The 12568-nt window shown below is 44.0% G+C and overlaps 2 protein-coding genes across 18 annotated transcripts in view; one reads left to right on the top strand and one right to left on the bottom strand.

Annotated features, from left to right (window-relative positions):
- The window catches only part of TG (thyroglobulin), a 267942-nt gene that overhangs the window by 160767 nt on the left and 94607 nt on the right, over nucleotides 1-12568 (top strand). For all 9 annotated transcript variants that reach the window (NM_003235.5, XM_017013794.2, XM_006716622.4 and 6 more), the window contains one exon: nucleotides 2097-2299. In NM_003235.5, the coding sequence (NP_003226.4) occupies nucleotides 2097-2299 (203 nt within the window). The remainder of the gene's footprint in view (nucleotides 1-2096; nucleotides 2300-12568) is intronic.
- SLA (Src like adaptor) overlaps nucleotides 9004-12568 on the bottom strand; it is a 65875-nt gene continuing 62310 nt past the window's right edge. For all 9 annotated transcript variants that reach the window (NM_001282965.2, NM_001282964.2, NM_001045557.3 and 6 more), the window contains 2 exons: nucleotides 12274-12406; nucleotides 9004-11013 (listed from right to left, as the gene is read on the bottom strand). In NM_001282965.2, coding sequence (NP_001269894.1) covers nucleotides 10800-11013; nucleotides 12274-12406 — 347 coding nt within the window. In that variant the 3' untranslated portion in view covers nucleotides 9004-10799. The remainder of the gene's footprint in view (nucleotides 11014-12273; nucleotides 12407-12568) is intronic.

The raw sequence follows: 12568 nt of genomic DNA on the forward strand, positions 1-12568 counted from the left end.
ATTGAATTGGGTTGAATGTTAGGACAGAATTCTAATTGTGAAATAGGATTTGAGTCCCAACTTGATCTCAAATTCACTTCTTGCATGTAAACAAGCTCATTCCCTCTAAAGTTTCAGTTTCTTCACCAGTAAAGGAAAAGGTTGGACCAGACATGTTGGACCGTAATTGCTTGGTAACTGCCTTCTGCATTTGTCTCTGAGGTTGTGTGTCCCTAGGACTAGGTAGGATCTCTCTTGCTTTCTGCCTTACCTAGCATAGTGCCTGATAGCAGCTGAAGCCCAATTCATACTTGTTTGATGAGTGGCCCCTTGAGCACATGCTCACCTCTGACCTCTCAGAAGTCTAGACCCCAGAAGTCAACATTGACCCTTTTTGTGTAGTGGGGAAAAAGCTGATACATGGGAAGGGAGAGTCAGGAACATTTCCTCTCCTCCTTGTCCCTGGTATACAGGCTGTGGACGTCACTTTTCAGATTTGCAGGACTTGGTCTGACTCAGTTGGTGCCCTGCTTTCCTGGGTTACCTGAGACCTTGGAGGAAACAAACACATTCATCCTAACAAATGGATCATATGAGCAATCCAGAAAGTTCACAGCGAGGATCATGTTCTACCAATGGCTTCACCAGTCCCAGAACACAAAATGCATTTGAAGAACTTTTGAACATCTCCACAGCTGGAAGAATAATTTGTGTCGTTATGCACTCTGAGCTAAGTGGAGTGCTCAGGCAGGCTGCAGACAAGAACACTCTGCTAAGAGCATCAGCAACATAATGTTAGAACCTAAACCTGTTCTATTTTATGAAAAAGTAATCTTCCATAGTGCTTTATGACAAGCACGGTTCTGTTCCCTTTACAAATATTAACTGATTTAGTCAACAACCTTATGAGGAAGTGCTATTATCACCCCCGTTTTACAGATGGGGAAAATCAAAGCACACGAACATGAACTTGTCCAGGGCCCCTCAAGGCTGTAAGTGGTGGAGTTGGGACTGCAGCCGGCTGGTCTGCCTCCATGGTGAGACCATGGTATTCTCTTCAACTTTGTGATTACTAGACTGGGGAATCAGGATGCAAGATTTTTCTGTTTTTTCTTTTCTTTTTTCCTATTTGGGAATATGGGGTCTCATCAGTAGTTTCTTGCTGGATGCTGAATCCTGTGAATCATAACTATGGTGCCTCATGGAGAAACGTGAGGGGTCTGGAGCTCGGGGAGTGGGCTGGGCCGCTGACACACACAGGACCATCACCAACATGTAGGTGGTAATGAAGGCCATGGAACCTGATGAGGTTCCTTAGTGCAAAGTCAGAAAGGAAGAATGGGAACCTCAGATGAGACAAGAATGAGATCTGGTGTTTCAAGGTCTGATAAAGAGGACAAGTTAGTGGAGTAGTTTGGCAAGGATCTACTGAATTCACAAGACAACGAGAAGTGTATGTAGTGTCTCAAAAACCTAAGGAGAAGAGCATATTTTTGCTATACTTGTTTGTATCTAGATCATTTTATTTAAAAAAAAAAATAGTGTTGAGTTTTCAACAAATGTTAATTGGATTCTATGAAAAAGGAAAGAGATCAATTCAGTTGCATGCTAATAAAGGCTTCAGATGATGAGGTGAGGGGAAGGGTGGGATCCAGAGCTCCAGCCTGGCCTGGCCATTGTCAGGGACAACCACCTGAAGGGGTCAAAGACATGGGGCAGAGAGTTCACCTCCTTCCCACTGATTGGCCAAGACAGTGGTGGACCTGAAGCTGTGCTGCCTCAAATCTGAGCAACTCCCCTCAGCTAATGACAGGGAAGCTGTGGCTCAGAGAGTTGTAAGGACATGATCAAGGTCTCCTAGCTGGCAAAGGAGAGGTACAAGAACATGATCAAGGTCTCCTAGCTGGCTAGCATTCAGGCCTATGTGTGTCTGGTCTCAAGGCCCATGCTCCTCCACTGTTCCTCACTGTATTTGGAACCCACAGTCTCTACCTGTGAGGACAAGAGCCCAGAGCCCCTGGCGGGGCCGCATATATGCCTGCCATAGACAGCACCATGATTTTCAAATCCAAGGTTGTAAAGTCACAAAGGATAAAAGGCTTTCCTCTTTTCTGAAGGGTCCGGAGAGGTGAGTGGCAACTGGGGGCTGCTGGACCAGGTGGCGGCTCTGACCTGGGTGCAGACCCACATCCGAGGATTTGGCGGGGACCCTCGGCGCGTGTCCCTGGCAGCAGACCGTGGCGGGGCTGATGTGGCCAGCATCCACCTTCTCACGGCCAGGGCCACCAACTCCCAACTTTTCCGGAGAGCTGTGCTGATGGTAAGTGGTGTGTGTTCTACCTTCAGTCTTACTGCAGATGCGGCTGGGGGAGGTGGTTCTCCTGTGCTGCAAAAGTCTAGTTGGCTTCAATTGCTTGGGTTTCCCTTGTCCTTTGTCCTGAGTGTGGATGCTGCTTGGAGTTTTCCATGTATGTGTGATTCCACAATGCTGAAGAGCTCTCCTGACTTTTTTCCACTCACGTCTGAAGTGCTAAAAATTTTAGATGGTGAAGTGTTTCTATTTCCTGAGAGTGGTTCATTAGGATTTAGTGATCTGAACCATCAATTATCTCTCTTGTCAATGCATGATGGTAAAGAAGAGAACTCACTGTTCGCAATTCTTCTGGATGGCCTGAAGTGCCGGCTACGTGAGGCTGATGATGATGGTGATGAGGAGGAGGATGATGGTGGTAATGATGATAATGATGTTGGTGATGATACAATGATGTTGATAATGACAATAATTATGATGGAAAAAATAACCTGGTTGGCCACTGCATACGCCCTGGTATTTACTGATCTGTCATTGATTAGTTTCTAATTTCATGGCACATCCAATTGGTGCCAGATATGCTGTGCAAGATGCTGGAAATGCCATGAAACATTATACATAACCCAGTTCTTAGGAAGCTTGTCATTACTGGGGGTTGAGGGACAAATGCTTAAAGCAGATATTTATAAGAAGATCTCAGGGCAGCCCTAAGAGAAGGCCCCAGCCAAGCATAAGGGAAGGAGGGAGTTTGGATCAGCACATCCCTTGAGGGGAGTGTCTGAGCCAAATGCTGAATGCTGGGTAGGCATTTACCTAGAGACAAAGTCCTGGCAACAGGGAAAGCTTGGAGGACAGAGCCCTGGTGGGGCAGCAGTGTGGAGCAGAGATGAGCCAGACTGCCCTGAACAGCTTGAGTTTTATCCTGAGTCCATGGGGAGCCTTCAGAGTGGTTTTGATTATTTATTTGTTTGCTTGTTTGTTTTGTTTTATGATTTTAACCATTTTAAGTGTTCCGTTCATTGGGATTAAGTACATTCCCAATGTTGTGCAACCATTACTACTATCCGTCGCCAGAACAGAACCTCTGTATCCTTTAACAACCCCCATCTCCTCATTCTCTCAGCCCCTGGTAACCACTACTCTACTTTCTGTCTCTATCCACTTGCCTGTTGTAGGTGCCTCATATTAGTGTAATCATGTAAGATTTGTCCTAATGTGTCTGGCTTATTTCCCTTAGCATAATGTCTTTAAGGTCCATCCATGTTGTAGCATGTGTCAGAATTTCTTTCCTTTTTATGGCTGCATAATATTCCTTTGCGCAGAGGGACCACATTTTGTTTATCCACTCATCTGTTGATGGACATTTGAATTCTACCTTTTGCCTATTGTGAACAGTGCTGCTGTGAACATGGGTGTTCAGAAGGCCTTTAAGCAGGAAGGAAACGTGCTTAGAGCTGCCCTTCAGGACAACCTCTCTTAAAGCTGGGTGAAGAATGAATTTAAGAGGGGCAACGCTGGAGGCAAAGAAAGCAGTTAGGATACTGTAAAGTTACTCAAGTTAAGGAAAGATGGAGAACAATTAACTGTACCTCAGCCTTGCCCAACCTTTTAGGGATCCAAACTCTTGATCCTAGGAGGGTAGGAGAAGTGTCATTGTTTGGGCGCAACTGATGCTAGGTCAGCATTGTCACCATTGCCAACAGAAAGCCGTGTCACCTGCCACGCATCTCTCTCCATCAGCCACAGGAGCCTTTCATGTTCCTTGGAGTTCATGCTCTGTTCTGGCTCATACAGGCAGTTTCCTTTGCATGGAACAGTTTTTCCCCATCCCCCTCTTTGCCTGCCCTACTTTTCCTTTAGAGAAGCCTTCCTGACTTTTCAGCCTAGAACTGAGCCCTCTTTATATGGCTTGTGCTGCCTGTACGTCTCCTATGCAGCATTCACCAGGATTTCCAACAGTAAGTAATTGCTCTTAGTGCCAAAGCTGCTGCCTCACAAGACTGCTAGCTCCAGCTGAGCAGGGGCTGGGTGTGCCTTGCTCTCCACGGGACCCCGAGCACCCCACACAGCACATCTTAGAGTCCGTGGATGTGCCATAATTATTTTGGGGCAGCAATGAGCAGATGACTGGGGGAAGTTTCAGTTGTTGCTCTCGGGGCCCCAGGACCCACAGGATACACCAGCTCCCTCCCTTCCACCCCTTTCTTGTGAGTCTTGTCCTTTGATTCCAGTTTTCTGCAATCTGTCCCTCCGAAGGTGATCCATCTCAGTGGCAGGAGAATTGAGCACAAACATCTTTCAATTCCTGGTGTTGAAAACAAACTATCCTGCGTTGAATTGATCCTGGAGAGATTTCTCCAGGGCCCTTTCAAAAACCAGACACTCATTAGGACCCAGAAGATGCCAAAAATACCTTCCAATGGGCTCAGAAAGCAGATTTTTCTTTTTGAGGGTTTAAGTGTTTGGGGAATTTCAAATACTAATCTGTTTTAACAAATGGCAGTGTATTTAAAAATAAACCCTTCCATCTGTTTTAGTCATTTGGAAGTAGCTTTTACAACTGCTCCCAGCAGTCCTTGGGATGCATGTGAAATTATTTGGAATTGAGAGAACTAAAATACTTCAATATATTAGCAGTTCTTAAATGTGTTCTTTATCAACAGATGTTTGGGGAAATGAATATGAGTTGGCAGTTTATTCTGGGATAAAATCTTAAGTCTCTCTGCAAATCTTGGGGCCAGAACTGTTGAAACATTGGTCAAGGGAAACCCTGTGATGATAATGAATAACCTGTATTCATTCAGCACATTTGAGACCACAAAGCACTTTCAGTGTCTTATCTCACAGATTCCTTGCACTGATTGGCATGGGGACTTTATTTTATTTTTCAACCTAGAGATAAGAAATTTGAGGCTCAGAGAGATTTAGTGACCTACCAAAGAACACACAGCAAGGAAGAAGCTGTGTTAAGGACTAGAACCTAAAGCCAAGTCCTGTATTTCCCCACTCTGTGATGCTGCCTTTCCAGGAATTTGGGACTCTCTTGGGGTCTCAAGGTGTAAGATAAAGAGCTGAAGCCTAAGATCAGATAGGCCTGCATGAAGATCCTGGTCTTGGAGAAAACACTTCACCTTGTATTCTTCACCTATCACATCAAATCAGTGTGATGAATTGTATTTCCCAAGGTCTTGAGATGTTATCAGGACTTATGGTTTGCAAACTATCTTGCACAACATAGGAACTCAAGAAATCAAGCTCCTTCTTCCCTCTTCCCTTGCCAAGGGAAGGCAACTCCAGATGGAAGTATGTCCTAGGGTATTTCACCCGTCCTGAGGCCAGGCTGGAGGATGAAGGATGACTTGTTGCAAACATGCATCCTGTGGCTGTGTCCCTGCACAGTCTTCAGACAGGGAAGGTCATGTCCTCTGTGGTATGATTCACGGACCCAGAAAACATTTCCCTTGCTGTTCTATGACAGCGCCCCAAGTCTGCATTCCTCAGGGTGAACTCCTGACCTCAGGAATCAGCCTCAAGCTAAATTTTCTGGTCTTGATTTTTACTCCATTCCTGCATGAATCCTGCATGAATCCTACACTCCAGGCTCACTAGCTATCACCCTTCTGAGGAAATGCCATGCCTTCCTCCAGGCCTTTTTATCTCTGTTCTGTGTTCAGCATATCCAGTATCCACCTGGAAAGTTCCTGCTGTCCTTCAGGGCTCAGCTGAAATGAAGCCTCCAAGCCTTTCCTCATCTCTTGAAACAGAAGGAAAGAATCTCACCTTAGTGAAAACACTTATATGTAGCAATGCTTAGTAACTGTGCCTTATTTTACATGCTTATTATTTTTCTAACATCTCTCATTCCAATTCTACTATGACTAGGTGCTTGAAAACTTATATGAGTTTAATCCGCTTAGTGTTTCCTTAACACTTAGCACAGCGCTTGGTTCAGAGACAGTGCTGAGTTCCACTAAAGTGATGAGAGAGATGGTGGTTTGGACTCAGAACACTGTTCTCTATCGTTTTTGCAGTATATCTCATAGTGTGAGCATGCTATGCTTGTCTATTCAGAATTCACCAAGATATTCATGAGTTTTGATGCTTCTACATGTATTTTAGAATAAGCTTATTGAGGTTTTATTCTAATATTTTTGCTGGGAGTTGGAGTGACATAGACTTGGTCATTAATTTCAGAAAAAAAACTACATTGTAATGGTGTTAAGCCTTGCATTCATGAATCAGGTAAACACTGTAACCATGAACGTAGTATTTTTGCCTTGTTAGGTCTTTTTGTACAGTTTTGAACATGTTTTAATAAAAGTTTTGTGCAATCATTGTGAGGTAAGTTCCTACACATGCCATCATTTGCTTGGTATTATCAATGCTGTCTTCTTTTCTATTGTATTTTCCAGTTTGAAAATACTAGTGTTAGGAAATAAGTGGATTCAGCAATTTGCTGAGCTGTTTTGTCACGTCTAATGCTTTGCCTGTTGGTTTCTTTGGATTTTCTATGAAGTTTCCTCGTTATTCTGCAAATAATGGCGGGTTTATTTCTATACCTATTGAAGCAAAATGCTCAATTGATATAAGGAGGAGACCCAGTACTAAAGCAGCTTAGTGGATAAAAAAGTTCATTTTCTTTTTTCTTTCTCTCTCTCTCTCATAACATCTGCCAAGGGGGCAGTCCAGGTGTCTCTGGATCACTCAGGGCTCTGGTTTCTTCTGGATATTTCTCTGCCATTTCTTAAGGCCTTCCTCATCTGCAGGGTTGAGTTTGGGCTGCCAGGGCTTCCAGATAGTAGGGAGGGGATGGAGAGGAAGGAGGACCATACCTGCCGTCTTAGGGCTTTGCTGGTAAGGGGCACACTCCCTCTTTAGGTATGGTTACAAGCAGAACTGCATTTGATTTGCTTTCATTCTCCATCATCTTTCTTGATCATGCTTGTTCATATTTTTATCACATTAGTCTACTTAAACAATGTTTTGCTTTTTAAAATCTTCTCTATGGCTGTGTTTTCAGAAGTCTATTTCACTGATGTCTTATTGTTATCTTCTACCTTCTTCCCGTTTCCTTGGTTATCTATTGTTCCTTTAGCTTCTTAAGTTGAAAGTTAATCTCATTACTTTCATTCTTTGTTTCCTGATCAATTTATTTCAAGCAATAATTTACCCTCTATCAGCTACACCCATGAAATTTTGAAAAGTAGCAATATGTCATTTATTTATAACATTTTATTTATTGCATTATTTTCTTCTTAACCTAAGGATTTGTTTTTTAGACTTTAGATCCCTAGAATTTTTAAATTTTTATTCATCATTTTGGAATTTGATTTCCAATTTTATTGCTTTATTATCATAGAGCATGAATTGGAAGATTCTGACTCTGAAATTTATTAGTACTTTCTCTGTGACCTAATACATTATCCATTTGTTGGCAGAAAAGTTATATAGTGTTATCAAAATCTATCTACCTATTTATTTATTTACTTATCTTTGCTTACTGTATCAATTTCTGAGATTTGTATATTAAAATCTCCAAATAAAATTATTGACTTATCTATTTGTCCCTGTTCAGTTGCTTAATATATTCTGAAACTATATCATCCCATTAACATAGGTTGCAATCATTGTTTCTTCTTAATGTTTTGTTCCTTTTGCACATCTCTCTTTGCCATTATGCAATTTATTTCACCTTAAATCCCATTTTGTCTCAAAATGCACCACAGGTTTTCCTTTTGTTCATTTTTGCATTAAAATTTTTTGCCCCTTTATTTTCAAACTTTGTGTGTCAATAGACAATACAATGCTGGAATTTTAAAGATTTGTCCTCCACACAGCATGATCTTTTAAACATATCAGTGAAATGGTCTTACCCCCTACTTGGATCCTTTCAATGGCTCCTCATGTCTCCTGGAATGGACCCTATGCCATCCCCTACCCTCTAGGGCCCTGCAGGACCTTCCTGATACCTCCTAAGCACACTCCCTCCTTCCCTAGCTCCCTCAGTCTGGCCACCCTGCCTCCTTTTAGCTCCTTCAGCATGCAGTCTTGCTCTTCCTGCCTGCAGGAATTGCCCCATTATTCCTGCTGACTCCATACACTTCCTAGATCTTTACAAGGCTGTTTGCTGCTCATCTTTCAGGCCTCAGCCCAAACATTGCCTCTGCTTGGAGGCCTTTCCTAAGCCTGGACCTGAAGGATGTCCTGCCTGCCAGGTGACTGCTTGGAGCCTGCCCTCATCCTCATCACCATCATTACCAAGCATCTTGTTTATTTATGATGTCAAGCTCCATGATATCAGAGACCTCATCTGGTTTTCATTGCTATAGCCCCAGTACCTGAGCAGTGTCTATTTAGTAGGTGTCCAGAAATATCTGCAGAAAGAAATTCTTGGAAGAACAAATAGCGCAGCTATCACAAGTAACGTGCAGAAAATCTAGGCAGGACGTTTTTATAACAATCGTTCAGAATTTGGTGTTTCCTTCAATCCCTTAGGCCCATCTTCAAGTTTCGTAAGACACCCCCCAGAGTCATACAATCTGCTTTTTCTTAAGGTCACACCTAAAGAAGATGCTGAGCTGCTAACTGGCACCAGGTTTCTCTGGGTGATCTTTACTCCTCTCTCTCTAGTTGCACGTTTATTTGAAAATTTGAAACCCACTGAGCTTCTGAATGAACCACCCATCCTCCTCAACCCAGAAACTCTCCCTGTGTGCCAAGGGTTAAATATTTATTAGGTTTGTTTTAATCAGGAATAAATACATGATTTAGCAAAGTGTAATGCTTCCCACTGAGAAATCCCTCTGGGTGCTCCCCAAATGTTCCAATCACATTCGTCACAACGGAAAACAACACATAAGATACTGTGCAGACATCTGGAGTTCAGGGGGTCACCCTGCCTTATGCGGGAAGTCAATGTCCACAGTGTTACATTCATTTCTCATACGTTGGCTGGTTCCTTTGAAATAGCCTTTTGGAACGGTTGGGGAAACCACAGATGTCTCCTTGTATAAACACACTAGAATCTATGATACAGAAAACTGTGTAACTGCACATACACATACCAGTAGCACGATGAGCTCAGATGGACGGAATGCTTATGTGAGCAGACAGACAGGGAGAGATACTGCAAGCATGTTCCCCTCCTTCCCCAGGATCCCTTTGAAACAGGGAAACATGAGTCACAGATTCATCTGCAGCCCACTCTCTTCCTAGTAGGATTTGGATGGGAGCTTCTCCTTCTCTGGCTATACATTGTGTTTTCTCCCTTGTCTCTTAAAATTATGCATGACATCATTAATCCACTTGGACTCCCCATCTTTCCTGGAGCTGAGCATTTTTCCTCATATGGATGCCAGACCCTTCTTAGAATAAAGTACCGGGTGAGTTAATTCTTTAGACTGTATCCATTTCTTTTCTAAAAAATCCAGCTATTCTTACCTACCCGATCCAGCCAGCCCTTCCACTCTGAAGAGCAGCTGGAAAATGAGCTCCTGAGTGTCCCTCACCTGTCTCTAATTCCATCCTAAGCCATGAGCTGATTTCTCTTTTTACACATTTGTTTATACATTTTTTCCCTGTCTACACTGTGAACACCTCTGTTGGGGGTTAGGACTTACGCATCTTTTTTTTTTTTTTGGCTTGCCTGACACCTTACAGAGGACTTAATGCAATGCCTATTCGGGCAATAAATGAATACTTGATGCATTCATACAGGCAAGAATCCCAGCATCCCAGAGAAGCTCTGTCTGCGCTGCAAAGCCATGGCTGCAGACATCAGGGAAGCTGGTGCAGTTCTAGTCTCGCCTCCTCGATTTCCCTGCCAGCAGTCTTCCTCTCTCTCATTCTTCTGGCCCTCTGCAGAACCAGGGAGGCCAACTGACTTCCACCCATATGGCTTTGGTGCAGGAGCAGACCAAAGGTATCTCCCAATTGAAGGCTAAGAAGTCCTTTGGGCTAATGTTTAGTGTCACGAAGTTCCTTTAAAAAGAGAGGAAAGCATACCAGAAGTCCCTATGGATTAGTTAAAGTAGTTCCATTCAGGGCACCCATCTGCAAACCCAGACCTTCTGCCAGGACACAGCTTTTGTTTCCTCTCCCTCTCAGGCTTGCCCATACAGAAGTTCTCTCCAATGACCTTGGAGTGTAACTGTCTGGACAGGTCCAGTTCCTTGGAGAGCAGTCCTGGTGCCCTTTCTTGTGAGAGTGGCTTTGTCCTTCCCACACACACAATGTGTGCATACATACATGCTGGGCTCTTCCAAGCATCGCCCGACATGTCATGATCCAATGTTTCGTGATGCCACAGCCCTGATCAGACACCAGGGAGGGGTTCCTTTGGTCATGATGTGGATAGAGAAGATGCGAATTTGAGTCTCCATGTGGCTTCTCTTGGCTTCTAAAATACGTGAGGCTCCCAGGGATCAGGGAACCTCGCTTTTCGCAAGATCCCAGGCAATAGTTGGAACTTCTGTTCCTTTTGGGCATGAACCATTGTGTCTGTTCTTGGCTAGTCCTCAAAGTAAGGTGGTGATGAGAAGAATGAGCTCTTTCTCTTGCTGCCACCATACATCAGGGAGATGCTTTTCTTCTTTCGATCAAAGGAGGTGTTGTCCTCACTGGTCAGGGACAGGTAAGAGGCAATGCTCTCTCGAAGGCCATAGCTGAAAAGGGACTCGTCTACCCCAAGCGGGTTCTCTGTTCCCTCGGGGTCCTCCTGCAGTCTGTGGGCCAGAAGAAAAGGCAGTAGAGAAAGGGAAAAAAAGAGAGTCATAGAGAGAGGAGGAGATAAAGGGCAAGAGAATGAGAACAGGAGGAAAAGAAAAACAAAAATCCTGGTGACTATTTCTCTAACTTATTATTATTTTTCTTTATTTATTTTAAGATGGAGTCTCGCTCTGTTGCCCAGGCTGGAGTGCAGTGGTGCAATCTCTGCTCACTGCAACCTCTGCCTCCCAGGCTCAAGCGATTCTCCCTCCTTAGCCTCCTGAGTAGCTGGGATTACAACCATCCACCACCACGCCCAGCTAATTTTTTGTATTTTGAGTAGAGACAGGGTTTCACCATGTTGGCCAGGCTGGTCTCAAACTCCTGACCTTAGGTGATCTGCCCACCTCAGCCTCCCAAAGTGCTGGGGTTACAGGCGTGAGCCACCGCGCCTGGCCCTAACTTACTATTCTAGTTATTACCCTAACCTATTACTCTAACTACTCTAACTGCAATTATTCTAACCCATTATTTTAATTCTGGTTCTTACATTTGTGGGCTGTGTGATCTTGGACAAATCACTTAACCCGTCTGAACTGCTCTTTTCTTGGATGGCTGACACTTCCAGCTGTAAATTTTAGTAAAAATTAATTTTTGTTATTTACAAGAAAGAGCAGTTTTCTTCATGTCTCGCATAATTTTGATCCTGATTTTCTTTGATTTGCCAATGGGATGTCTGGATTGATACTGAATTATTAAGATAACCCACCAATCCCAAACTACAGATATCCTTTAAAATTCACAGGCTGACAATGGAATAAACAGAACAAATCCATGAAAGTTTTTTTCTCTTAGAAAAAACAAAGAAGTCACTGTAGGATTCTGCTGATGTGTTTAAGCTTTGTGAGTGGGTTTTAAATAATATTAAATTTACACAGGATGTGTTACTTTCTAGGATCCTAACAATTAGAAAAGGAAAAGTGGTATATTTCAGCTAGAATGTATATTGCTAGCATAGAATAAGGACTCAGTAAATGTTTGCAGAAACAGGGGGAGCTGCCACACACCTCGTGAGGCCTGAAGCTGCCCCTGCACCCAGGGATTCCCTTGGTCTACACTTGTGGGGGGTGCTCACCCCCCAGTTTCAGCAGGGCTGGCTGACTCTGGCCATGGTTTTCATGTGCTCGGCACACACACCGTTTTGTGCTCACATGTTCACAGAGCACTTGCATGCACACACACACACACACACACACACATACACACACCATACTCACCTGGACACTCTCCTCCAGTCCACAGTCTTCTGACGCAAGGTGACAGGTGAGCTGGAGGCCCTCACTGCTGGGGCAGCCGTGCTTTGTGTCAGGCAGGGCGTGGTGAGCACACAGCACAGGCCATCAGCCACCTCTGAGGAGGGAAGCAGACAGCCGGTCAGGGACCCTGGGGACGCCTCAGCCAGTGTGGGGTTCAGGCCTGAGACACTCTCCAGTGCAGCTCCCTGGCTGCTGCCATGGGGAACTGGGCCTGAGATTTCAAAGGGGCATGGTAGGTGGTGACAATGCTGAAAGT

Source organism: Homo sapiens, chromosome 8 (assembly GCF_000001405.40).
Source record: "Homo sapiens chromosome 8, GRCh38.p14 Primary Assembly".
Lineage (NCBI taxonomy): Eukaryota > Metazoa > Chordata > Mammalia > Primates > Hominidae > Homo > Homo sapiens.